The 27,986-nt window shown below is 46.9% G+C and overlaps 1 protein-coding gene across 18 annotated transcripts in view, besides 2 other annotated features; it reads left to right on the top strand.

Annotated features, from left to right (window-relative positions):
* Window positions 1-27,986, top strand: part of TRAPPC9 (trafficking protein particle complex subunit 9) — a 730,855-nt gene that overhangs the window by 193,098 nt on the left and 509,771 nt on the right. For all 18 annotated transcript variants that reach the window (NR_164662.1, XM_011517326.3, NM_031466.8 and 15 more), the window contains one exon: window positions 12,553-12,705. Coding sequence is in view for 17 of the 18 variants with exons in the window: in XM_011517326.3 (XP_011515628.1) it covers window positions 12,553-12,705 (153 nt within the window). In the remaining variant the exon portion in view is untranslated. The remainder of the gene's footprint in view (window positions 1-12,552; window positions 12,706-27,986) is intronic.
* Window positions 27-850: an enhancer, noted in NCBI's record as "H3K27ac-H3K4me1 hESC enhancer chr8:141274731-141275554 (GRCh37/hg19 assembly coordinates)". NCBI's record gives its function as "activates a minimal SCP1, AML or CMV promoter by ChIP-STARR-seq in primed H9 embryonic stem cells {active_cell/tissue: H9 hESC(primed)}" and the evidence as "EXISTENCE:reporter gene assay evidence [ECO:0000049][PMID:30033119]".
* Window positions 27,486-27,686: a silencer, noted in NCBI's record as "peak7188 fragment used in MPRA reporter construct". NCBI's record gives its function as "represses an SCP1 promoter by STARR-seq MPRAs in K562 erythroleukemia cells {active_cell/tissue: K562}" and the evidence as "EXISTENCE:reporter gene assay evidence [ECO:0000049][PMID:32103011]".

The raw sequence follows: 27,986 nt of genomic DNA, 5'->3' as shown, positions 1-27,986 counted from the left end.
GCTTTCCATAGTGCTGTGGCTATAGAAAAATCATCTCTGCACTGTGAATTTCCTCTCTTATTTCTTAGCTATAAATACCTTGGTTGGTTGGCATCAGAGGGGAATAAGCTGTTCCCATGTGTGTGGATTTGCTTGTTATTTGAATACGTCACTCTTAAGCTACAGAACTTAATACACAAATAAGCAGTGTGGTTAGACATCTTCTGAGCATACCTTATGCTTGGAAATAGTAGCATTCTGAAGGTGGGACTTTGAACATTCTTCAGTTACTGGCCTGGGCGCGGCCTGGGGTGGCAGCGTCGAATCTCTTGCACTCTGCTGCTTCTGTGTATGTGGAATAGGCCGGCCTGTTGCCCTCCTGGTTTCTGTGTGGTTTTCCTCTCCCTTTCGTGGGTGTTGCTGTTGCTCGTTGCCTCTGTCGCTTCGGGTTGTCCAGCACAGTCTCTGTTCAGCTGGCGTGATGACGAGAACACGGGTTTTGGCGTCTCGTATTGTTTAGCTTTATGACTTGTCTTGAGCAAGTTGACTGAGTGCTGGAGGCTTGGTGTTCTCGTCTGGATACTTACCAGGATCCAGTCCCTCTCTCACGTGGTCATCCCAGAACACACGCTCCTGTCTCTGGAGGACCTAACACAGTGCTTAGCACAGGGTGGGTGGGGTAGGAGTAGCTGTTTAGTTGCAGTCCCAAGACTGATGGTTTGGCTTCCTTGGTCTGCCAGGGCCTGGAAAACCAGAACATCCAAATTGTTAAGGCTGACTTGAAATAAGCAAAGGCATGCCCCGCTTGAGGAAGTCAGGTGCCTTTGTCTACATTTCCTGGGTCCATCTCTCTCTCTCCCCTGCCCTCCCCCTCCGCTCTCTCTCTCTCTCCCTTCCCCCTCCCCCTCCTCTCTCTCTCTTCTTTCCCCCGCCCCGTTTTTTTTCTAGGATGATTCAGAAACTGTCTTAGCTTTCCCCTTGTTCTCAGACTTTCTGGGATGGTGAAATGTAACAATTCCCCGGGTGAATAAAGGTATACTTTCATTAAAACCATAGCAAATCCAAACCAGAAGCCATTTAGTAGAGTCAGCATAAGGCCTGCTCATAACACATGGAAGGAAGCCGGGAAAGCAAGAGTGTAAGAAGCACCTTGGGAGGCCATGGGGAGCACCTGGGAAAGGCAAGAGTGCGAGAAGCACCTTGGGAGGCCACAGGCAGCGCTGACGGGGAGGAGACGATTGGCTCCTGCTGACAAAGGGAAACCTGTTACTCGTGCAATTCTCAGGACCCGAGGGGTTCGGTAATGAGCTGGCTGAAGTGCCATATGAGAGCTACCCACCCTGCTGGGCTTTCTAACTTTCTGGTCTGGTCTGTTTCCGAGGTGCTTTTATTAGGCTATTTTTACATAATTCTTTTCTTAAAAATAATCACGGCAAGGCAGGGCAAAATTTTAGAAATCAGTCTCGGAGAAAAGTGGCTTCTACTTCTTGGTATTGTCATAGAGTGGAGTGTCTTGGGGAGCGGGGGAAAGGATTCAGTTCCTCTGATCTCTGCTTCAGTTTTCACATCAAGTCCCACTTGCATATCTCGGCGTGGACAGAGGTAGAGATGGAGCTGAGGACAGCTGCAGCAGCCGGCTCCGGGTAGCCAGGCCAGCAGACTAGTCGGAAGCCTCTAGGTCAGGCCTCCCTCAATTTTCAAGTTACTTATGATGGTCAACGTTATAATATTTAGGATCAGATGGACTTTTGTTAGAGTCCTGGCTTTGCCACCTACTGGCTGGGTGACCTGGACCAAGTTACTTGTGTCTGTGACCATTGTCCCCTCCTAGTGGAGCTGGCACTCCATGGCTCTTCTGGTTGTTATACTACATGCAAGGCACTTAATACAGTACCTGGCATTAGTTAGAGCTTGGTAAATCCTAGTTCCTCCTGTAAGGTACTGTTATCTTTGATGCTGCTGCCATTGTCACCTTATAAAAATGTCAACTCATTTGTCACCTTTCTAAAACATGTTGAAATTATTTTCCTATCCCTAGTTTCTTAGCCCAGCGTTCAGGGAAATCCATCCCATGGCTGGCTGCCCACCTTTTTCCTTCCCTTTCTTTCTTGCACATTTCCCCAGTACCCACTGTGCTTCAGGTGTTGTGCCTTGGGGAGCAGGACCACAGTCATCCCTGTCCTCCCGGAGCTCTGAGAGTAATGGGAGGCTCAATGGTAAACAGGTGCAAGGTGTCCCGTGATAGCAGTGGGCAGGGCGGGGGCAGCAGAGGGATCGTCCTCTCTGCTCTTTTTTGGAGTGGTTGCTCCCTCTGGTGCTCACCTGTCTGTCTTCATGGCTGCCAGCTGCTCTTGCCTTTGCTGGACTCCTCAGCAGCCCGTACTGAGCACTTCCTACATGGTGGCCATCGTATCGGGCACTGGGGACACCGGGCTGAGTGCTACCGAGGGCTCTGCCCTGGGGAGTGCAGAATGTTCTGCCACAGCCCTTGTGCTGCAGCTGTCTTTGAACACACTTTTATGTATTTGGAACTTTGCTCACTCCCAGATGTCCTCTGTGCATCCCCAAGTCTGTCCCTCATTTGCAGTTCCGTCCACTGCCACCTCCTGAAAGCTTTCCCGAGCCCTTCAAGTAGAATTAATTATGCCACTTCTACCGTCCATTGCCTTGCTTATATTCTGTTACAATAACACTTACCTCACTTGGCTTTGTATTATTCAACAATCAAACATTTACATCACATTGACATGCCAGTCACCGTGCAGGCACATGAATAATGCATGAACCCTGTCCTGAGAGCTCACGGCTCAGTGTAGGAGGCAGACATGTGCACTGAATTGAACTGAATTCCGACTGCACATCCTGTATTATTTCTACTGCATGTTGACTAACCACAGTGAGTGAATTTACTGGTGTGTCTCCTAGAAAGACATTGAAATTCCTGAATGACTAAAAGTCATTCAACTTGCTGCCCCCCCCCACCGTATACACAATTGCAGCGGCTTTCTGGTACGGTTCAGCATTTTACACATTTCTAGGGTCACGCTGGAGAAGTTTACAAAATAAGCTGATCTTAAGACAAAGTGAAATGCCTTTTAATCAGTTCTGTGAGACCTGTCATGTTCAACGCCTCGGGAGCATGGATGGGAAATAAAGAACTCAGGGAGGGCTGAGGGGATGAAGGTGTCTGGCCTGCCACTTGGGAGCTCCTGAAAATCAAACTCCCACTTAGTTGTTTGGGGTCTTTGGTATGTCACGTCTCTGTAAAAAAAAATGAGGAAAAAAGTGCACTTCTTAAAATAGAACTACAGCATGATTTCACAGGCTTTCAGGATTAAGCCAGTGAACTTACTAAGGGGTAGGTTGTAGAGCAGAGTGTTGAATCCTGGCTATACCCACTTCTGCATGGCCTGAGTAGCTTCCCTAAAATGGGTGTGATAGCAGGACCTATTCAGAGAATCAGTGTGTGGATTTAATGAGACAATAGACGTACAGGTCTTAGTACCTGTTTTACGGGAGTACTCCATAGAGCTTAGATGGCTGGTGATGGTGATTTAAGTAACAGTAACTAGTATGCTAAATGTTTGTCTCCTCCCCCTTCTCTTCCTTCCAGGTTGTGTTGGGCAGGTGGTATTTCTTTAGTTTCATGTCTCCATTACAAGCCACTCCTCCTGATCTGGGTGTCTGACGCATCCTGCAGCCATGACTATGGGGAAGCCTGGTGGGCGGGCATTCACAGTCCATTTTGACAGGGTTCGTCTCTCAGTTGAAGCACGTTTAAGAAAAGAAAAGCCATCCCAACAGGCAAGAATAGTGCTATAATTATAGTTTTTGAATTTAGTTGTACACTCCTGATACGCTAGACTGAGAGCTGAAAGAATGAGATATTTTATAGAGGTCTGGGACCCTAGCAGGTTCACCTTTTACTTCCAGCTACTAGGACAGCAAGTCTTATTTCAGTTATATGCTACCCTGGCTTGGGCAATTAATTCAGCAAGCAGTTGTTGAACCTGTTCTATGTGTAATGGTATTATAAACTTTACAGAAATTTTCAGATAGAGAGAAGCCTGATCTCTCATCTGGTCCCAGCTTTCAGGGGCTTCTCCTGTAGCCCCGATACCATTTCTTCCTACAATCAGAGACAACCTCCCCAGAGGGCAGGGGCTACATCTTCTTTATCTCTGTCCCCAGAACCTAGCATAGCGCCTGCCATGAGGATATTTTAAGGCTGTGCAGTAAGTGTCCATTGAATGAATGAAATGGGCAGCAATAGAATGTAAAAACCAAGTCTCATCACAGTGCTGCAGAGCAGACAGAGGACTTTCATGCACATGACCTAGGCGGGTTCTGTGTGCCAGGTGCCGCAGAAAGTCCTTATGCTGTCTCATTCTGTCTCCACATCACCTCTAACATGGTCTCCATGTACTGACAGGGCGTCTTGGGATGACAGAGGACATGTGACTGCCCATGTTCAAAGAGCTGGTAAGATGGCAGTATTAGGACCCAGATTCACGTGTGTCTGACCCTAGAGCTCATGTGCTTGGCCATTATATTTTCTTTTCTGCCATATCTTTTCAAAGTACTCTCTCCCTTCACCTTCATGAGCCTCTCCTTGTGTGTGCTTTCCGCCTGGTGATGATGCTGGTTGGGTTCATGGGTTCAGATAAGGGGTGAGAGGCAGATTGGTCTTTGCCAGTGCTGGATCTGACTCTTGGTTCTGTTACTTATTAGCTGTTGGGCTTTGGGTAAGTTGCTTAAACTCTCTGACTTTTAGTTGCCTCTTTAATACACATGTGGACAATGTAGCTGTAATGTGAAGTCAGAAGATAGGACTTAATAGATGGTTGTTTCAGTTATTGTCTTGTGTTCTCCTTCCTCCTTCCTCCAGAGTGGCCCTTCCATGCTATGTTAGCACAGGTAGTAGAAAGGAGAGGTAGAACTTACCTAATTAGTTTGCACTAGTGGTTTTCATTAGCCTGGGCAAATTTTTTCTAGGCATTTGATCACCTTCCAATTTGCATGGCTGCGACAGAGTTCATCCACCACCTCAGAGAACTTTATTCAGCTGGCAGAGTTGAGTCTGGGGACTTCAACAGTGATAAACATGCCCCATTTGATTGTTGTCCTTCTCACCAGTTCACATGATTCCCTGGCCCTCTTGTAGGACACCATAGAAAGCATCACCATTGGCTCAGAACCCACTTCACTCTCGAGCCACGGGCCTTAGCAAGATCAGTCTTGCACGTGGATTTGCAGGCCAGATCCGTGGGGCTTCTCTCTATACTAAATTGGAGGGTGGTGGTAGGGTGGTGAGCTTCGACTCGAGTGAAATGTTAGCATGGTTTTATATCCGTGCATGTGTGTGTATAGGTGTGAGCGTGTATATGTTTGTTTATAAAAGCGTAATGTATACTTATCGTCAAAAATTCAAAAAAATATAAAACAATTTGAAACTACCCATGATCTCATGACTCAAGGACAACCAATAAGAGCAGATAGGCAGGTCTTCGTTTTCTTTTTCGATGTCAGTGTTTTCATGTAGTTGGAATTAATCGTATATTCACTGTGGTATTCCGCTTTTTTCACATAGCTCTTTTCCGTCTGTTCTAAGCGTGATGTCTGGGCACACGTGTGTGTTCTGCCTCATGCACTGTTGAGTGCCTGCTGGTGGCCAGGCCCTGTGAGCCATTGCATGGGAAGGGGTGCTGATGGCAGCTAACCCTAACGTGCACTCACTGAATGCCAGGGACAGGGTTAGACACTCTCAGGAATCACTTCGTCCACACAGCTCTGATAAAGGGTTGTGAAGATTGTCCGGTTAGGAGAAGGAAACTGGGGCTTGAGGAGTGGGAGGAATAACTAGCATTGGTTGAGTACTTATTCTAAGCTGGGCGCTATTGTAAGCATTTGACTTCCGTCAACTTGTTGATTCTGCATGACGACCCATTTTATAGATGAGTAAACTAAGATACACAGAACTTTGGTAACTTATCGAAGGATAGCCGGCCGGAGCCAGGATCTGAACCCAGGGCCCTTTGTCCTGAAGCTGGGGTTTGTAACTAGCACACACCCTGCCTCCCAAGGTGGTGAGGTTCAAAGGCAAGGTCTGGTCCCTGCCTTCCGTTTTTGACCGTTTGGTGGAAGAATGAGCTGCTTGGTACCTGGATGGTGTTCCACTAGAGGCGTGTGTGTTGGAGCCCAGAGCAGTGATGTGGGATGGGAAGGCATCACAGGAAAGGAGCCTCCAAGTTGGCTTGTGAAGGACGCATAGAGTTTCTGTATTTGGGAAAGTGAGCGGGGCATTCCTGGCAGAGGGAGTGGTGTGTGCAGGCGGGTAACTAGGGCACAGGGGTGAAGAGCGGGGAAGGAGAGCAGCCGTGAGAGGGGATTCCTGGGTGCCCATCCCACGATGTTGCTGTTATGTGCCATTGCAGCCGGAGATGAGCCTGAGAGCCCTCTGCTGCTTCCTCCGCGGGGTGGGCTGAGCTGCCACAGGGCAGGACCCAAAGGGGCGGCTGGTTCTTGGGGCCCGTGTTTCAGAAATGGTCTGACAGGACACTTGGGAGGGGAGGCTCTTACAGGGCCTCAGTATCTCAGCTGTATTGGCGGTTCACGGGGAGGTTGGCCAGGACCCCTGCAGCCCTGGGATAGGCCATTTAAAGAAGTTGGCACACACTTCCAATGTTCTTGAGGCCTTGGGCCCTGGCCCCCAGCAAGCAGGCCCCATTGGTTTTCTGCACTGGTTTCATGTGGCCTGGCCTCTCTTATCCCATTCTATCCTGAATTGATTGACTGGATCGAAAAAGAAAGACAAAATGCCATTTATGAATCTACTGGGTGCATATTTATATAATGTTAAGTTCCTGGGTCATCAGGAGGATCTTGGTGCTGTAAATGGTTTGGAAGGGAAAGCGATAGCTTCCATTTTGGGGTCAGGTGCTGGCAAAACCCCTAGAGAATGTATCTAGCAGGCGGTTTGAATTTCTGGAGTGCAGTTTAGGTGAGAGATCAGGAAAATTTGTAAAGTTTAATTGTGTTTCCAGACTAGGTTAGTGCCATGTGCTTCAAGAACAAAAGAATTATCAGCAAACATCTAAAATCTTTATGTTCTATAGATTATTATAGAGGAAGAAGATGGCAACAGCCGTGTGTGTGAGGAGTTTTGAGTGAAATGTCAAATCCATTACTTGTGCCAGGGAGCGTGTGAACGCGGAGAACAAGTCCAGAATTAGTCGCACAGGGTCACCCTCCCTCTTTTGAACCTGCCCAAGCCCTCCTGCTCCCTCAGGCCGTGTCTGAATGGCGGTCTCTCCGGGGAGTTTCTCTGGCCCTCCAGACTTGTCTGTCGTGTGCTGTCGTGTACCCAAGACAGACTGACCTGGTCATGACATACTTTGTTGTCTTGTGTCTAGTTTTCTGCCTAATTTCTGCCTCCTCTGTCAGACCATGAGCCCTGGGAGAGCGGTCACTGGCCTGTTTGCCCACTGGTGTGTTTTTTTGTGCTTGCTACAGAGCTTGACACACAGGAGACACTCAATAAATATTTATCTGAAGAATGACTACTTACTTTGCCAAAGGACAGTGATGCAGTTCTCCTCACATGCACATCCCAGTGAGAGCTACAAACAGAAAGATCAGCTCACACAGTTGGGTGCAGAGTGCTGGAGCCTGTCCTGGAGGCATGTGCAGGTGTTTGCAGGCATGGCGGGAGGGCTTCCAGCCTAAGAACAAGGGCTGGGATGGTTGCATATCTGAGTAGATACCCTGGACCTGGGTATTAAAAAGCTCTAGAAAATCCAGCCAGGCAGAGAAGGTAGGGGAAGACATTTCCAGTAGTAGGCACACGATGGGGCAGAGTTCTGGACTTAAGAAAGCATTCGGCATATTCAGGGACCCCCCATGCTAGGAGTCTATTGGAGGTGTCACCAGATGTCAACTTCTGAAAGGACGTGTGCTTCTTTCCTCCCTCCCCTGTGCGCTCGCATGGCACGGGGTCCTTTTTCCCACTCCTGGGCTCCTGTCTGGGGAGGCTTCTTTTCAAACCAAGGTGGGTCTAAAGTAGTGTCGTCAGGATGGCACCTCCGAGTGCCATTGGAGGAGAAGTAGAAGGAAGGTGGACAGGTTGGCTCAGCGCAGAAGAGGCCCAGGCCAGTGCCAGCACTGCTGCGTGGAGAAGAGGCAGCAACTGCGTTCTGAGCTGCCAGAGGACTGAGGCACGGTGAATGGGTGTGAGGGCCAGGGTTCACCTCTTGACTCTGGGACATCCTAGCTTTGTACCCTTAGGAAAGCTGCTTGATCTCTCTGAACTCTAGTTTGCTCATTCATATGATGTGGATAATGCTGGCATATGGAGATTTTGGGAGGAGCTAAGGGTATGCTGTAAGCTAACTACTCTGCACTATGGCGGAGACTCATGCCTCCTCTGGCCTTAGCATATGAACTTCAGACAGTGCCTGGCACAGAGGGAGAGCTCAGACACCTGAACACTTACTGGGACTGTTCTGTAATGGAAGTAGCAGGAAGTAGTAGACATGGAAGGCTACGAGCCCCCATCATTGGTGGTGGTGTTCTTGCCAAACCTGAATAATTATAAGAGCAAACACTTAACTGAGACTCACTGGGCACCGTGCCCTGTCCTAAGTACTCTATATGTTTTAAACCCGCTAACCCTCACAGCAGCCCTAGAAAGTAGGTACAGGTATTTCTCCCTGCTTTACTTGTAAAAGAAGGGGAAGCTGAGACCCCAGAAAAGTAACACAGCCAATGGCAAGCTAGGAAGGTGGGGATCTGGGGTTTGAACCCAGGCCTGTAGTTTCAGTTGTGTTTAACCACAGCTTCTGCAGCTGCCCACAGATGTGTCGGCACCTACAGAAGAGCACAGTGGAAAGGAACTCCAGCGTCTTGTGGGAGGGTAGATTCTCAGAATACACATAGAATGGCAACCAAGCGGAAGCAGGTGGGCCTGCCCGGGGGTCCTGCGTGGAGGAGGTCACATCGAGTAGGCAGAGAACTGGCATGGCTTGAGAGAGCAGGTGGGAAGGAAGAAAGTCAGTTACCTTCCTTACTAATGAGCCAAGATGTCGTCAGAACCCTTCTGAAGGAGTGGGAAGAAAGCTGCGACCCAATTGATGATGTGATTTTGTGTCAGACTCTCCTTTTCCTTCTGCTTTCTCACCTGTAAGATGGCTTTGAAGTTCTTTTCCCATTTGGAGACAGATCTTTGTTCTTTCTCTGACTGAGTGACTTACCGTCTAAAGGATAAATCATATATGTGAGTATCCACACATTCCCCTGAGCAGCCAAGGGCCAAATGTTGTGTGTTGAAGCGGGTTTCCAGACAGAGAATTCAGTAGCCTGTTGTCATCATGAAATACCAAAGCGACCAGTGTTTTGTACCCTTTGCCCCCAAAGCTTGACTGAAGTGTTTAGATTTTTATCCTGTAATTAGAGTGGCTATAATTGGATATGATTCACTTTCTTTGACTTTAGGTGATTCTTGTTGACCCATTCCATCTCCCACTTTGAGTTTTGGATAATACTTTCCTCCAATTCTCCATTTCCCTTTCACTAAATTCCTATAAGAATCTCATCCAACAGCCACAGCTTCTTCTGTTTTGGGGACGGAGTCTCGCTTTGTTGCCCAGGCTGGAGTGTAGTGGCGCGACCTTGACTCACTGCAACCTCCACCTCCCTGGGTCAAGTGACTCTCATGCCTTGGGCTCCTGAATAGCCAGGACTACAGGTGTGCGCCACCATGCCCAGCTAATTTTTGTATTTTTAGTAGAGACAGGGTTTCACCCTGTTGCCCAGGCTGGCCTCGAACGCCTGGCCTCAGGTGATCTGCCCGCCTTGGCCTCCCAAAGTGCTGGGATTACAGGTGTGAGTCACTGCGCCCGGTCCACAGCTTCTCGAAATCATCTGAATGTAGGGATTCATTCCTCAGACTGTCGTTAAAGTTGACTTTCCAGGAACCAGCCTGCTCAACGATTCCATCATCCTTTTCCCAGCCATCTGTCTTTTCCCAGATCATTCTAAAATACTGTGATAGTATCAGTTTGCAAAGCATCTGAACACCATCCAAGGTGGTGGACTGGGTGATGCTGAAGGGCAGCTAATATTTATCAAACATGTATAATATGCCAAGTCTTCCACTGACAGCTGAATGACCTGTTACATATGCTAACCTCCTTCCATGATTTCACTGGTTGTTGGGAGGATTAAGTGAGGTAACACGTGGAGTGTCTGGCACATTTGAGGTGTTCTGTGAATGACTAAGTAAATAAATGAATGTGATGTGGTTTCTAAACACTTTTCAAGGACGCTGTCCCCTGGATCTGTCTCTCTGTGTTAGTATCCTTCTTTAAGGAAACATGGAGACATAAACGCCGTCTGTCAGACGTGCTCCAGAGGGAGCTTGGCCAGTTCTGCAGGACCGTGCCATGGTCGAGCACACCTCCGGCCAGGAATATGTCTGCTTATTTTGCAGCTCAGTTTGTCCTCGTGTTCTGGAGTTAGCACACCACGTATCTTTTTTCTTTCATGGGGATTTTGGTCAAGCTCTCCGTCTTCCCCTGAGCTCCTGTGAGGTTCACTTCTGGGTCTTCCGACCAGGACTTTACATTTGAACTTCACCATGAAATGTCTTCATGCAGGAAGTGAATGTGACTTTGGAATCATTTGGATCTAGGATTCTAGACTGATTCCATAGTTGGTGACCATGGATAAGTTACTTCATCTCTCTAAAACCGTCTCCTTATTCAGACCGAAGACGTTCAGCATAAAAAACTGGTTCCCAGAAAGGGGATAGTGGGAAAACAGCAAGTCGCTCCTGCCTCCTAGGCTGGAGGGGCACCAGGAGGAGGACCTTTGCAGAGCCTGGAAGCTGGGCCCTTCCTGGGAGGAGGAGGGCCCCGTGCTCATGGCTTCCTGTCCCCTGTGTTGGTCAGGAGGGTTTCTTGTTCTACCATGTGGGGACAGCCAGAGACCTAGCATGTGCACAGGGCATGTGCACCTGACAGCAGTTCATTGGTCACAGACACTCACAGCTGGGGAAGGAGGATACCATGCCACGTAGGGCCATGTGGGCTGCACTCAGGAACAGAGAGAGCAGCTGCCCAGGGGCTGGGGGAGGCGGGCTTTGGGGTATGGAGAGGGAGGGCTGCCCCCGGCTCCCCAGGGAGGATGTGACTGGCTTATTTCAGTCCCTTCCAGGCTGGCAGGGAACTGACACCCACTGCCCAGGATACACAGGGCTGCACCTGCTTTCCGCACCTGGAAACCTGCCTGGCTGAGGGACCCTGTATCTGCAGGAGCAGAGTCAGGAGGGGACTTGTGGTGAGGCCGTTTGGGGCCCTCCCAGTTTTGCCGGATGTCAAGGCAGCATATCATACTGTGCCTGGGTTTTAGGAACTGGAGCCGTGGAGAGACGCAGCTACTTCAGCGGGCACCAGCAGTGGCCTCCCCATGTCCCCTTCCTGTCCCCCTTCCTCCCGTGTTGCCTGAGGTTCTTACAGTGCTGTGGTCTTCTTGGTGCTTTTACAGATAGTACTTTATTGAATCTGTAAAATAACCCTGTGGTGCAGTAATTGTTATCCCCATTTTACACACGAAGAAACCTTGACTCCAAGGGATCATTATTCTCCATGGCACTCGAGTTAGTCAGTGTCAAAAAGGCACCAAAGTCAAGGCCATGTGACTCTAACATTCAAGACTTTTTATTAAAGACCATGGTGTATTTGCCAGAAAGCAAGGGAAACACCTCTCCCCGGAGGCCCTTCCCAAGGTGCCGTCCTTAATTCTTTGATTTGATGTTTTTTTTTTCTTTTGAGATGGAGTCTTGCTCTGTTGCCCAGGCTGGAGTGCAGTGGCATGATCTTGGCTCATTGCAACCTCTGCCTGCCGGGTTCAAGCGATTCTCCTGCCTCAGCCTCCCGAGTAGCTGGGATTACAGAGGCGCGCTGCCACACTGGCTAAATTTTGTATTTTTTTGTAGAGATGGGGTTTCACCATGTTGTCCAGGCTGGACTGGAACTCCTGATCTCAAGTGATTCACCCTGCCTCAGCCTTTCAAAGTGCTGGGATTATAAGTGTGAGCCACAGCGTCCTGCTTGGGTTTTGATTTTTTATTCTCTTTTTGTGAAGAGGTGTCTCATATTAAATATACACTTTCCCTACTACACTTGGATCTGTTTCTCTTTAAGGTGATATAATACAGAAAATATTCATTGTGGAGAAATTTAGTTTAACTCTGATTTAGTTTATAAGAGCAAAACGGCATTTATTTGGTCAATGAGAAGGAGTTGCTCACTAAGGCGTCAAGATGGCTTGGCTTGAGCTCGGTGCCTCTAGAGATGAGCAGTTCTTCCTCCTCCCTGTGCCTCCTTCATAAACAGGGGTGATTGCCTTGCAACACTTCTTGGTTCTGGAATGTTCTTGTCACTTTGATCTTACACATTTTAAAAGCTCTTCTTTTTCCTTGGCTTTTGAGAATGCATCAGAATTTTCTAGGGGATTGGTAAGTCCCATACTGCCTCAGTTACAGCATCCTCATCACTGTCATTGTTATTATTACAGAAAAATTGTATGGCGACTTCTTGAGCTGGAAGCTAGAGGAAACCCTTGCCCAGTTCCCTTTGCAGCCTGGGAAGGTGGCCACGTTCACAATCAACATCAAAGTGAAGCTGGATTTCTCCTGCCAGGAGAATCTCCTGCAGGATCTCAGTGATGGTAAGCGCTTTCCTAATTTTAATTAGCACGTCAGGGTCCTAGATACTGTGTAGCAACCCCCATCCCTTGATGCCTGCTGTTTGCTGTTTGTAACTCACTTGTCATTCATTAACTCAAGCTGCCTGAGACATCTCCTGGGCACTTTGTTAACAGAGTGTGTTACTGTATGTGTCTGAAAGTAATAAAAGTACTTTTTATCTAAATGATTTAATTCTCACTCTTTATTATTTTGTACTCATTTACCAGCAGGTCATTCTAAATTAGTGGAATGTAGGAATTACTGCGTTTTTTCAAGTATAACTGCTGTGATTCTTTAGACATCTAATTAGCTGTGATGATAAAGTTTTCCTTCAAAGTCTGATGATATCTATAAGGAGGTGGAGTGTGGAAGAAATGGAAATTTATATTTGTTGTAACATTAGGACTGATTAGAGATAAGATTTCATAGATTGGCTGGGTGTGATGGCTCACACCTATAATCTCAGCACTCTGGGAGGCCAGGGCGGGCGGATCACCTGAGGCCAGGACTTTCAGACCAGCCTGGACAACATGGTGAAATCCTGTCTCTATTAACAATACAAAAATTCGTCGGGCATGGTGGCGCATGCCTGTAATCCCAGCTACTCAGGAGGCTGAGGGCAGGAGAATCGCTTGAACCTGGGAGGCGGAGGTTGCAGTGAGTCGAGATCACGCCACTGCACTCCAGCCTGGGCAACACAGTGAGACTCCATCTCAAAAAAAAAAAAAAGATTTCATAAATTAATTATGCCAAATTATGAAGCATTCATTTGGAGGCAGTGTGGAGTCTTTCAGTCAACTCAGGCTCCCCTAACAAAATACCACAGACAGAACAGCTTAAACAACCAAGATTTATTTCCTCATAGCTCTGGAGACTGGGAGTCTGAGATCAGACTGTCAGCCGTGGTGATTTTCTGGTGAGGGAGGGCCCTCTTCCTGGCTTGCAGATGGCCACCTTCGTGCTGCGTCTCCACGTGGAGGAGAGAGGGAGCTCTGGTGTCCACCCCTTCTTACAAGGGCACTCATCTCATAGAGGGGGCTCCATCTCCATTGCTTCATCTAACCCTAATTACCTCCCAAAGGCCCCACCTCCTAAAGCTGTCCCACTGGGGGATAGGCCTTCAGTAGATGCAGCTGGGGAAGGGGGACGCAGCTCAGTCCCTAACAGACGCCCTCCATAGAGTTTGCTGTCTGCACCCTCTGCAGTTCAAATAGTCAGCATGAGCTTCTTGTATAGTGCTGGTATTTGGTAAAATATTCTTTTTATATTATTAACAAATGTAGAAAAACAGATTTAGGGTTGGATACATTAGAAAATGAAAAAAGTTGAGAGGATTTCAAATTATACCAAGACTTAAAAATGTCTGATGACACGGATTTTTTTGGTTGGTGTGTAAACGGCTTTATCCCGCTGAACTGCATTTTTTCTTTTTAATCAGTAGACAGAGGGTTACATAGGTTCTGACTTCTTCTTCCCAAGAAGGGGGTTTGGCAGAATAAATGGTGCCCAGCACCTGCCCCTGGAACACTTGGGACTGGATATTACCCCAGGGCTATGTCTTGGCACGTGGACTCCAGGCTAGCAGTGAGGGAATGGTGACCGTGGTTTCTCCCATGGCCTGCCAGGGTCGTCTTATTCCTGAGGAACAGTGTGGAAGGCTTCCATGTGGAAGGCTTGGCTTTTTGTGCTTGGTTGTTTGAATTTGCATGTTCAGTGCAGACCTATTTTGTCCTGTTATGACTGTGCTTCTGCCTTTTGTTATAGAGGGGACTAGGGCAGTCTCTCTGCCCTTCTAAGGTCAGAGAGAAAAATTGAGCAAAATTGCAATTTGGGACTTGTAGCCTGGGAATACCTTCTTCTATCTTTTAAAACAAAACCAAATCAGGCCTTGAATTATGGTCACCAGGTGGTTTGTAAATGTGAGGCTGGCCTGATTGCTGGTCATGGCACGTAGTGGTTACTCATGAGATGCCCCCTTTATTAATAACAGTTAATAGAAGCTCTGGCTGGTTGTTTACATAGTATGTGGCAGAAAGAGACAGCAAATCTCTAAGGTAAGTTTTACCTTAGAAAAACCAGGAAACCAGGTCAAGTTTTATGGAGGAAAAGGTAGGCACGAAGAACCACCCAGAGCTTGGTCCATGGAGGCTGCCTTGTTACGTGCAGTTCAGTCTGAGGAAGCACGAGACAATCACGGCGCCCTTATGTGAAGTGGCTGTGAACTCAGTGGCAGAGGCTCATTTGTGGCCTCTGGGAACTGGGAGACGACCCCCTGTAGCTCACAGTCTAACATTCTCAGAGACATCTAATGGGGGACCACGTGTGGATCCAATTTGATTCTCAGGCATGGACTCGCATTAATTATGGTTACTGAAGTTAAATGACGCTTAAAAAATTCACAGCAACCTGGATAGCTGTTGCACAAACCGGGATCCTGGATTCAGTGTCGGCCATAGATAGCTGGAAGATAATTAATGTTTACTGAGCATTGTCACATGTTGTGTATAAAGACTGGGCTAGCCACTTTTTTTCTGGCATTATTTCTATTTAATCTTTGTAAAAACTCTATAAAGTAAATGTTGTAATTCCCATTTTATAAACGCAAGTGGGAAGAATGTTCTAGATTAAAGGAGATTGAAGAGCTGTAACAATCAAATGCCGTGCATGATCCTTAATTGTATCCTGGATTTAAAAAAGAAGACTTTGTTTTGGGACAATTGAAGAAATTGAATACTATAATATTATTGTATCAATGACAAATATATCGAGTATGATAATGAAATTGAAATTGTAGCAGAAAATTCTTGTTCTTAGGAAATAAATGCAGAAGCATTTAAGAGTGAAAGATCAGGCCAGGCACGGTGGCTCACGCCTGTAATCCCAGCACTTTGGGAGGCCGAGGTGGGCGGATCACGAGGTCAGGAGATTGAGACCATCCTGGCTAACATGGTGAAACCCCGTCTCTACTAAAAATACAAAAACAAAAATTAGCCGGGCGTGGTGGCGGGTGCCTGTAGTCCCAGCTACTTGGGAGGCTGAGGTGGGAGAATGGCGTGAACCCGGGAGGCGGAGCTTGCAGTGAGCCGAGATCGCGCCACTGCCCTCCAGCCTGGGTGACAGAGCGAGACTCCATCTCAAAAAAAAAAAAAAAAAAAAAAAAGAGTGAAAGATGATTTGCCTGCACTTACTTTAATAGGGTGAAGGAAAAAAAATACAGTGTGAATGTGAATCTAGAGAGAAATAAAGTAAAAATGTCAAATTATTAAAAAGAAGTGTCTTTAACTATTTACAATACCAAATATGTGGAATCGACCTAAGTGGCCATCAGTAGTGAATTGGATAAAGAAAATGTGGTACATATACACCCTGGAAGACTATGCAGCCATAGAACAGAATGAAATCATGGCCTTTGCAGCAACGTGGATGCATCTGGAAGCCATTATCCTAAACCAATGAATGCAGGAATAGAAAAGCAAATACAGCATATTCTCACATATAAGTGGGAGGTATGCATTGAGTCCTCACAGACATAAAGGTGGCAGCAACAGACACGGGGGCTACTCGAGAAGGCAGGGAGTGAGGGGTCAGGGAGGGAAAAACCAGTTGTTGGGCAGCACGCTCACTGTCCGGATGACAGAATCACTCATTTCCCAAACCTCAGCATCACACAGTATACTCATGTAACAAACCTGAACACGTACCCGCTAAATCTAAAATAAAAGTTGAAATTACAAAAAAAAGTTGGCTTTAGATAAAGAGATATAGATCTTCATTTCTTGTGACTTTTCTGTAGGCTCGATATTTTTCAAAATAGTAACAAGAAAAAGATTTTGTAGAGCACTGTTTGGATGTATTATTTTGATTTCTAAGTGAATTTTAGAAATTGTTTCTAAATGAAACATCAGAAAGCAAATTATTTACCTTATCTTCAAATTCTTGGCAGATATCTATCTTCTTCATATAACTAGCCTAGGGTAAGAGAAGTCAACTTTTCACCCACAAAATAGTATATTCTTTTCCTATGATCCTTATAATACTTGAAATCTCTGATTTCTTGGAATTTTATGTTTAAAATTAGAAGTCCTGGAAGATGGTGGCAAACTGTCTTAGGTTTTGAATATATGAACTATTCAGTCAAACAGACTGAACAACTAGAATAGAAAAACCAAATACCCATAGGCAAAAATATATAGCAAAACCAGTTACCAGAGTATCCCCACGGACCCCAAAATATAAGTAGATGTGGACAAACCACTAATAACAACACGGTTTCACCGTCTGCACAAGAGGAAGCCGGAAACACACACACCCAGGAATCCCCACACAGCCAGCAGGTACTCATTGGGCAGCTCAGTGGGCCAAGTTGAGAACAGCAGCTGAAATGTGGAGGAGTTTGTATGTTCCAGTAGCAGATGAGTGCAAATAATTCCTCTAGAACAAAGCCTCACCTGTGGAGAAGCTGCTGGGAACAGAGGTGGGATAGCAGAAGCAAGGAAAGAGAAGATCTGGCTGAAACTAGGGGAGGAGAACAGAGTTAAGTGGTCTAGAAAGTAATTTCTTATATTCTTGAGTACCACCCCCAAACACAGAATACAGTGTGTAGATTTACTAGAATTAGAAGAGCTATCCTGAATCATTTCTCCTAAACATTCATGAAAACTAGTTTCATGTAAAGATGGTCAACAGAAAAGGATCATGGCCAAACTCTATGCAGAGTGATTCTAGTGAAAACATAAGCAGCGAGATAACATAGAAGAACGTGCTCAGAAGCTGATAAAAATTACAAAAACCCATAATGAGCTAAAAGACATGAAGAAGAAGTACAAAAGAATAACATAAATCTGAATGAGAAAAACTCAGAGATGAGATGGATATAACTCAGGAAAGAATTTGTAATAGAATAAATTTTTTTTTCCAGCATTGTAGTTTCTAGTGAGTTATATATACCTGCCAGATACATTAAGGGAAGCAGAAGATGAAAAGAGAGAAGAAAAAAGAATCGAGAGAAAGATGATTAAAGAGAAAGTGACACACTTAGAAGCTAGGCAAAGAAGATCTAACGTACATGCATGCATGCATACATATATACATACATATATCTGCTATGAGACACCAGAGAAGGAAACGGAAACAATGGAACCACAACATGTTAAAAACTATAATTCACAGAAAACTTTCTGTAATTAAAAAAAAAAACCCTTGAAACTGTTGCATGAATGGGTACACTGTATACATGAGAATCTTGACTTAGAATGAGCGGGACATATTCTAGTTATATTACTGGACTTAAAGTCTTTTGGGCTTTTAGACCCAGATAGCAAGTGATTTATGAAATAAAGAAAATCAGATTATCATTGGACTTTTTGACAGCAGCAGTATTCCAGAAGCCAATAGAATAGCATGTATCTAGACTATGTCTAGCTACTCATGTAATGAAAATTTAAGCCAGAGATTTGTAGGCACAGCCACACTAACTTTTAGGTATACAGGGCTTAGACAAATTGTTGTCAACACGCAAGACTGGAAGAATTAAATTCTCATGATTTCTTGAGGATTCTACTAGGGAAGCACAGCCAAAGTAACTAGAGAGACGTTGTCATAAGGACTTGTGGTGAACATTAAACATATCGTTGCTTGTATAGCTAAGACCAAATGAGCATTCAAAGGGAGAAGATAGTATGTCATGGTAATCTGCTCTTACAGTATCCATCACAATAATTTAAAACATGGGGGGAGCATGGGAAGTCATATGCAAAAGTAATTTTTTTTTTTTGAGACAAAGTCTGGCTCTATCGCCCGGGCTAGAGTGCAGTGGCACGATCTCAGCTCACTGCCACCTCCTCTTCCCGGGTTCAAGTGATTCTCCTGCCTCAGCCTCCCAAGTAGCTGGGACTACATGCGTATGCCACCACACCTGGGTAATTTTTGTATTTTTAGGAGAGACGGGGTTTCACCACGTTGGCCAGGCTGGTCTCAAACTCCTGACCTCAGGTGATCCGCCCGCCTCGGCCTCCCAAAGTGCTGGGCGATTACAAGTGTGAGCCACCATGCCCGGCCCCAAAAGTAATTTTTAAACTGTTCTCTGTAATTGTTTTGGTAGAGATAGTGTTAGTACTCATATTCTGAAACTAGGTATCAGTGTAGGGTAAAGTAAATGATTAATTCTGTGATAATCTCATTCTATCATCTGAATCTAGTTTTGAACTAGGGTTCTCATATGGAAGACAGGAAGTAACTGATGTCAGATATGAAGTTAAGTAAAAACCTTGTAGTTTAGAATTTGAATAAAAAATAGCAAGAAATCATGAACTATTTGAAAAGCTATCAATCTCCTAGCCTTGTACAGTGTCCGAGTCTAGAAACGGACCAGTCCAGCAGCAGTGAGCATTCCTAATGCCCACCTCCTGGTCTTGAAACACACTTTCTCACTCAGAGAAAAATAACCAGTTCTAGATGTGGAGCAGGAAACAGAGCAGGAAGGTGATCTTGGACCATCTTGTCAAACTTGCAGCAAAGGAGTGATTAGAGAGCATTGAGGTTGTGTTGAAGGGCTCCGCCTGAAGAAGTGACCACTGGCAATTTGAGCATCAGTAAAGATGCGAACTGTGTTTCAGTCCATGAGTTCTCAATGCTACTTGAGAGAATTGTTCGCCCTTGGAAAATGATGGGGAAGTGATTTATCATTTTGAAAATGGTAAGCAATGAGTATTTATTCTGCCTTTTCATGTAGACTGCGCGATTGGACGATCTAATACCAGTTGATGAGGGGAGTCTCTCTTTATAGAAGTATTTGGGCTAACAATGGAGATAAGGAGGATAGAATTCGGATATCATCATTTTGCCATCCCTAATAGATTAATGAGTCGAGACAGTAAGCATCCACATAACAAAATAAGAGACAACCACACATTATGTTCCTCCTGCTGGGAGAACACAGCACCTTCTGTGAATTAGCAGTGTCCCAGAATCACACCTGAGGCTGATCAGCGCTCTGGCTCTAACTGCTAATTTACAGGACTTCAGAAGGCAGAAAAACTTGTTAAACTACACCACGGGGACACAGTTGGCAGTCCAGACTCCAGGAAACCCTGCAGTCCATGAATTGGTTCTCTCAACAAGTAAATTATCAGGGGGAAAAAGGCATGAAGTTCTGGAGATAGATGATGGTGATGATTGTACAACAGTGTGAATGTGCTTAATGCTGCTGACCCCGTACATTTAAAAATGGTTAAAGTGGTAAACTTTAAATTATGTGTATTTTACAGACACACACACACACACACACACACACACCACAAAACAAAGAGATGAAAAGGCTATCTGTAGTTTAAGAGAGAGTTAAATGACGCATTTAAAAACAGGCACAGCTAAACTGTAGTTTCATTGCTGCATGCTTACGTGGTAAAATGGCAAAGAGAAGCAAGGCAGTGACTAGCACAAAGTCTGGGTGGTGGGCCCTGTGGGCGAGGGAGGACGTCAGCATTGGGATGGGCAAATCGAGGGCTTCTAGGGGGCTGGTAAAATTCTGCTTCTGGACCTGTGTCGTGTTTTCTAGGGTGTTTGCTTCATAATAATTCATTAAGTGATACCTTTATTTTTGGTGGTTTTGTCAATCAGTGTTGTATTTCACAATAAAGTGTTTTTTAAAAGAAGAGGCCAGGCGCGGTGGCTCGTGCCTGTAATCCCAGCACTTTGGGAGGCTGAGGCGGGTGAATCATGGGGTCAGGAGATCGAGACCATCCTGGCCAACATGGTGAAACCCCGTCTCTACTAAAAATACAAAAATTAGCTTGGTGTGGTGGCGTGCACCTTAATCCCAGGTACTCGGGAGGCTGAGGCAGGATAATCGCTTGAACCCAGAAAGCAGAGATTGCAGTGAGCCGAGATTGCGCCACTGCACTCCAGCCTGGTGTCAGAGCGAAACTCTGTCTCAAAAAAAAAAAAAAAAAAAAAAAAAGGAATTGGAAACACCTTAGTAATAATACTTCTGCGTAACAGACAGCTTTGTCATCTGATGAGATTGAAAAATTATTTTATCCAAGAAGGTTTTCATGAAGGAATTATCCAGAAGATCGAGCCAGGCTGCTGCACGTGCCCTCTTTGTCTGAGGGACATGTTTGAGCACAGGGAGCTGTCGGGAAGATTGATAAATTAGTGTTTTGATTTTATTGGGATTGATGTGTCACATGAAAACTGCCTTTGGGTTGCCGTTTCTTGACGGTGGGATGAAAGCATCACCTGCTTTGGTTTCCTTTTCAATTAATTAATTATTTAATTTGGTTTTCTTTCTCTGTGTACTTTTTGGCTTTTGGTTTTGTAAGAGAAATGTCAACTTTCCCTGCTGACAGTTTCTGTTAGACATGATAATTAACTGTGGCATTTCAGTTTCAGTATGGGAAATAGTGATCCCTAGTATCACAGAATGAGACGAGACGGTAGATGTCAGCTAATCAATTTGGTTGACAGAACAGGAACCTGAGTCCCAGGAAGGTGGAATGATTTGTCTAAGGCCTCACACAGCAGCACCAGGGGCCCTGCCTGCTGCGGAGCTTGTCCTGCTGTTATCCACTCCTTCCTTCCCTTTGGGCAGCGGTCCCCAACCTCTTTGGCACCAAGGACCAGTTTTGTGGAAGACAGTTTTTCTGCGGACCATGGTGGCAAGGGGATGGTTTTGGGTTGAAACTCTTCCACCTCAGATCATCAGGCATTAGATTCTCATAAGGAGCGTGCAACCTAGATCCTTGGTGTGCACAGGTCACAATAGAGTTTGCACTCCTGTGAGAACCTGAGGCCGCTGCTGAGCTGACGGGAGGCAGAGCTCAGGCTGCAAAGCTCGCTAGGCTGCCACCCACCTCCTGCTGTGCGGCTCAGTTCCTAACAGGCCACCAGGGGTTGCGGGCCCCCGCCTTAGGGAACAAACAGAACAGTATTTCTAGGTCCATCTTTGTGGTACCTATAAACTTCTGGTTTGCTGGGAAGTGAATGTCACAATTCTGGTGGACAAATGGAGACTTGCTTTTTTCAAAAATGGGGATATGATAGCAGTTCATGTAAGGAATCTTCCTGTCTTTGTCAGAGAGGAGGGTAATAGAGAGTGGGCGGCAAACCTGGTCCTTTAAGTCATCTGCTGCTTTTGTATCTTGAGAAGGGGACAGGTTGACTTTGGTGAGTAGTGCCCATTTTATCCCATGAATTTGAACACCATGGGGAAAATATGCTTATCTGTATCATAGGGCTCTCCCACTAAACATTCATTCATCAAAACACAGGGGCAAGTGTGTGCCTAGTTTCAGCTGTTGTCAACATGCCACTTTTTTTAAGGCTTTTCCCCACTCTTGTATCCCTTCCTCTCAGCACATGGTCTCTTTTCAAAGATCCACAGAGGCCATCAGGCAGAAACCTTCTCTGCTTCCCCTCTTTCCTCTGGGATACACTTGTTTTTCCCATCTGTTTCGTTGTAGAGGAAGATGGGCTCCTCCTCTCATCAGAGGTGAATCGTCTGACTTGTGTTCCGGATCAGGTATCCTTTCTCTTTGGTCTTTTGAACTTGCCCTTGTTTTTGTAGGTCACGGCCCATGGACCACCTGCATCAAAGTGTCTTTGCTAAAACGCAGATTCCTCGGCCCACCCAGCTCTTCGACATCCCTTTCTGTGGGCGCTGGGCTGCGATCTGTGTTTCTGACCCATTCTCTGGGGGGTTCTGCGCACTAAGCTTTGAGCAGTTTTGTACCAGTCCCTCAGCCGATATGCCCAAATCCTCTTCTAAACCATGGGTTTCTCTCTGGCTACTCCTTACTCTTTCCCCTTCACTTTTTCATCCTTCTTGTACTTTTCCGCCATTGAAATCAGGCTTTTAACCTCCCTCCCCCTCCGTGGTTGCCACTTACTCATCCTTGGGAGACGCCAGTGACTGGCCAGTCCTCCTGTAGGTGGGGAGCTTCCCTCCCCTGGCCCGTGCCGTGCCACACTGACTGTTCCCGACTCTGCTTCACTGCTGCATCCCCAGCTATGGATGTTCCTAACAGTTTTGTCCTTAATACTTACCATACACTATATTTTTCCTAAATGATTTCACAGGCTCTAACATGATGGTAATGACTCTGAAATGTCTATTTCCGGTCTTGAATTCCATGTCAATGTTTTTAGCTGGCTTCCTGACTTTTTCACCTGGCAGCCCCGAAAACACCTCCAGTTCAGCTTGTTCAAACTCTGATGGATTGTCATTCTCTCCAGACGGGCTCACCTTTCTGTGTTTCCTTTGGTGGCAAAAGCCATTATCATCTGCTGGGAAGTGCCGGCAAGAGTCCTGGGGCTGTTGCAGATGGTTCTCTCACCGCTGGAGTTCCATCCGTTCTTCCCCAAGGCTCATCTGTTCTTTCTCTTAAATATCCCTCCATCTTCTCTCCCTCTTTGCCTTGGTACACATGCCAAACACGTTTTATCTGAGCCTTCACGGGAGCCTAGTTAACTCTTTCGCTGTCACTAGCCTGGCCCTCTTGAATCCATCTTCTGGTGTGTCTTACAGTTTTCTCAAAAACAAATGGGCTCCTCACTTTGGTGTCTAAGTCTCTATGTAATCTGGTCCCAGTCTCCCTCTCTCTCTCTCTCTCTCTCTCTCTCTGTCTGCCTCTTCGTGTTGCTGGGCCCTTGCATGCCGTACCCTGGCCTTTGTGAAATGCCCTTCATCTGTGCTCTTCCCTCCACCTGGAATGTCCGTCTCTCTTTTTCTGCCAACCCACTCGGCCCCTCCCTCCTGCAAGCCCTTGAGTGTCCCCTCCCTCCATGTCCTGTGGTGGCAGAGCTCGAGCTCATCCTTCCCTGAGTCTCCCACGTAGCTGCCGTGTGCTCTCTCCTTTCCCAGTATGCAGTGAGGCCTGGTCAGAGCAGCTTCTTGGCATACGTTAAGCAAGTGAGGGACGGAAGGCACGCTGCGAAGGCTGCCGAGTGTTCCACACCCTGAGTTCAGAGACGGGAGAGCTGTCTGGCTGTGAGGATCTGGTGTTGCTTTCTGAACTCTGAATGAAGGGTCTTTTAAAATCTTTTTAATTTTAATTTTATTTTTTTGAGATGGAGTCTCGGACTGTTGCCAGGCTGGAGTGCAGTAGCACTATCTCAGCTCACTGCAACCTCTGCCTCCCGGGCTTAAGCGATTCTCCTGTCTCAGCCTTCCGAATAGCTGGGACTACAGGCGCACACCACCATGCCCAGCTAATTTTTGTATTTTTAGTAGAGACAGGGTTTCACCATGTTGGCCAGGATAGTCTTGATCCCTTCACCTCATGATTCACCCACCTCAGCCTCCCAAAGTGCTGGGATTACAGGCGGGTGCCACCGCGCCTGGCCCAATTTTTATTTTTGAGATGGAGTCTCACTCTGTCTCCCAGGCTGGAGTGCAGTGGTGTGATCTCAGCTCACTACAACTTCCTGGGTTCAAGTGATCTCCTGGGTTCAAGTGATTCTCCTCCCTAGTAGCTGGGATTACAGGGACACACCACCATGCCCAACTAATTTTTGTATTTTTAGTAGAGACAGGGTTTCATCATGTTGGACAGGCTGGTCTCAAACTCCTGACCTCAGGTGATCTGCCTGCCTCGGCCTCCTAAAGTGCTGGAATTACAGGTGTGAGCCACCACACCCGGCCTGAATGGTCTTTGAACAGGTCCTGACTAAAGATGAGCTGGATGCCACCAGCAGGGATGCAGGTGACAGGGTGGCCCTGAATAAAGGCTGGTCTGGACAGCTTAGATGACCCAGGAGCAGGAGGGGATCCCCGTGGGAATGGCAGGCCCAGGTAGGCTGTGGAAGGCCTGAAGTTCCAGAAGTAACTTGGACTTCATTGAAAGATACTGGAGAGCCGCTGACAACTTTTTAAAAGAAGGCTGGTATGATGGGAAACTCTGTTTTAAGAAGGTGAGTGGGGCTGGGTGCAGTGGCTCACACCTGTAATCCCAGTGATTTGAGAGGCAGAGGTGGGAGGATCACTTGAGTCCGGGAGTTGGAGGCCAGTCAGTGCAACAAGACCCCATCTCTACAAAAAATTAAGCAAAATGAGCTGGGCTTGGGAGGCTGAGGTGGGAGGATTGCTTGAGCCCAGGAGTTCCAGGCTGTAGTGAGCTGTGTTTGTGCCACTGCACGCCAACCTGGGCGACAGAGTGAGACCCTGACTCAAAAAATAAAAGAAGGTAAGTTGGCTAGATTTGGGAGTGTCATCTGAGATTCACCTACCTGTGTATGGCAGGCGGTAAGTGTAACCACCCGAAGTTGAGGCAGGAAGGTCTTAACCAGGAGTGTGCCAGGTGAGCTGGAGAGCAAGAGGCGATGTGGACATGCAGTGGTAGGGGAGATCCCGTAGCCTGGGGGGGTCAGAATTCTCCCCAGTCCTCCCCTCGGAGCCCCTGCGCACTGTCACCATTGGACGCTGCTGGGTTTGCATTACACAATTTAGTAGCAGGTCAAGTAGTTTCGTGAGCTCCCATTAGAATCTCTTCTGTCCCCCCCTAGAAAAATGCAGTTCTTTTTGCCTGAAATGCCTCATGTTTATCAGGCGAAAGACAAACTGCCTGTGGGAAGTTGGAATCAGTTCAGTTCTTTGTGCAGAACTGGAGACTAGGGTGAAAAAAAAACATGTCTATTTGGCATTTCATTATATTTGGCTTCTTCACAATTTAATGATAACGGATGCTTCCACTTATCATTGTGGTCAGGAATTAATTTTATTCGAGAGCCATCGCTCTTGAACGCATTATATTCACTTTCATAACTTGCCCCTTCCCCCCTTATTGTACTCTGAAATTGGGACAGTTATTCAGTGTCTTTGTCCTCATCTGCTACTGCTCTTGAAAATAAATACTAATTTTTGGAATTCGTAGTCTTATTTTTTAAAGAACAGTGACTCATCCTGAATTACCCAGAATTCAAAGACAAAGGTGATTGGAATCTTAATGCCATAATATTTCTTTTTCTCTTTGCAATTTCTATTTGCCTGAGTTTTTCCCACAAACGTGTTACTAAGAAGAAGGCCAGGGATTTCATGGAAACTTGGGTTCTTTCCTGAGGCCAGAGAGCCCAGGGGCTGGCGAGAGCAGAGGACCTGGCGGAGTGCACGGTGTGTTGGTGTAGGTGTCCAGGCGCCTCCCACGCATCCCCTCCACGGCCGTGAGGAGGTGGATGCGGCCTCCGTGCCAGTGAGTCCCGAGCAAAGGGAAGCACACCTGCACTTTGGTCCTTCTCACTCCACCACCCTCATCTCGCGGGCAGGGCCGGAGTCTTACTTGTTTTTTGTTCCTAGCGCCTGGTGGCTGCATCCTCCCCCAATACTCTTGCTTTTCTTACTGCCTCAGAAGCAGCTCTCTGTCCCATTCAGTTGGAGATTCTTCCTTTTCCTCTTTACCTGGAAACACTGGAACTCCCGAGGGCCCCATCTGAGGCCCTCTTACACTTTGTTCCTAGGCTCGGTCTCTCCAGACGTCCTCATGTGCTCATGCAGCTCAGCGCCCCTCCACCCCCAGCTGCCCGCCTGCCTGTGGGCTCCTGATTTGAGGGGGCTGAGGGTGGTGCGTCTGGGTGGAGGCTGGCGTGGGGCTTCCCTCCGTGCCCTCACACTGCTGCCGTCTTCGTTGTTCTTCCCTCTGCTTTGACTCCGTGAAACAGAAAGGGAGGCTGGCCTGGTGCCCCCAAGCCAGCTGCTCCAAGGAGCAGCTTTCTCCGGGGCCTGCTCCCTCTTCCCAGTGAGCTCCTGGTGGGAAGCCCCTATGTCTGCAGCGCCCGGGCCCCTCCACTCTTGCCAGCCCACCCTAGCCTTGGGCAGTTCCTGAAGGTTCCAGCTGAAGCTTTTTGTTGCTTTGCCTGGTGTTTGCTGGAGCCCCGGCGTCAGCACGGGGGTCGCGCTTCCCCTGCAGGGGCCTCTCTCTCCATTCCAGGCTAGCTGTTTTCCCCGTGGCCCCAGCTCTCTGATCAGGCAGGGAAAGTTAATTTTCAGTATATCCAACTCTTTTACCTCGTCACAAGAGGGGCGCATTGTTGTTTCCAGCTCTCTACATCTTCGAGCTGAAATCAATTCACATCTTACAGTTTAATTCAGATCTGCAATTATTTTCGGATTATGTTGGCCATTTGTCATATTATGCGCTACTTTTGTTTTGTGTTCGGTGGGTTATCCGCCTTTGTTCTGAAGGAAAAAGGTTAATGACGCGTCGGACAGCCTGCCCAGCGTTATATTTAGCCCGTGCCATCTCCCCGGAGTCTGACTCATAGGCAGTAATTTCACAGCGTGGCGGCGCAGCCGAGGGAAAGGTCAGCCTGCTCCTGCTTCCCTGGAGCTCTCAGGAGCACCTTCCTGGTGCTGGGTCTCCTTTGGACACTGAAAGTTTTCCAACACCCGTAAGCTGAATATGCCCCAGACATCTGTCTAATAACCTGTAAGTGCACGTCTCCCTAGCCACTGTTAGCCTGTAGGTGGGGAGGTTGACTCACTTCTTTGATTTAAATTTGGGTTGGAAAATAACTTCCTAAACTAGCAGGATAGAATGAAAATCCAGGTGTTTGTCATTCATCAGCAACAGGTGATCCCCATTGCAGGCAGCCGGAACCGACGTCTCCTGGACCACTGAGCTGGCTGTTCTCATTACTGCCCTTTCCGCCCAGGCTGGCGGTGACTCACCGTGAGACAAGTCAGCTAGGTGTTCAGGACAGGGATTTCAGAGTATTTTTGTCCAAAGAGGAAAGGGATGATTTCTACGGATCACTACCAGTTGGTTTACTGTTAGCTCATCGTGTTGATCACACCAAGTCTTGCCAATTTGGTTTTCTAAGTATTTTCACGCCTTCTCCTCGTGTCCGCGTCACTGCTCTGATTCAGGCCCTTGTCATTTCTCATCTTTGCCATTTTAGTAGTTTTTGGATTGGGCTCCCGGCTGCTAATTTTGTCCCCTTTTCCACTATCTTCCACATTGTCACCGCAGTCATGTTTCTAAGGCAGAATCTCACTGTGCCCCTCTTCTGTTGGGTGACTTCTGGTGGCATCCCGTCACCCTCAGGACAACCTTTCCTGGGGCCTGCCCGCTCTGCTCTTGCTGCTGCCTCCCTGTCCCCCTCCTCCCTCCTGTGGTTTATATTCCAGGAATTCTGAATTAGTTGCACCGTGCTCTCATATTTACTGCAAGAATAGACCAGTGGTTCTCCAGCTTTTCTGCACTCTGGAATCACCTGGGGGTCTTTAAAAAACACTGCCTGGCTCCTAGTCCTAAATTTGGAGATTTAACTG

The sequence above is a fragment of the Homo sapiens genome, chromosome 8 (assembly GCF_000001405.40).
Source record: "Homo sapiens chromosome 8, GRCh38.p14 Primary Assembly".
In the NCBI taxonomy this organism is placed as follows: domain Eukaryota; kingdom Metazoa; phylum Chordata; class Mammalia; order Primates; family Hominidae; genus Homo; species Homo sapiens.
This window is presented reverse-complemented; position numbering and strand designations above follow the sequence as displayed.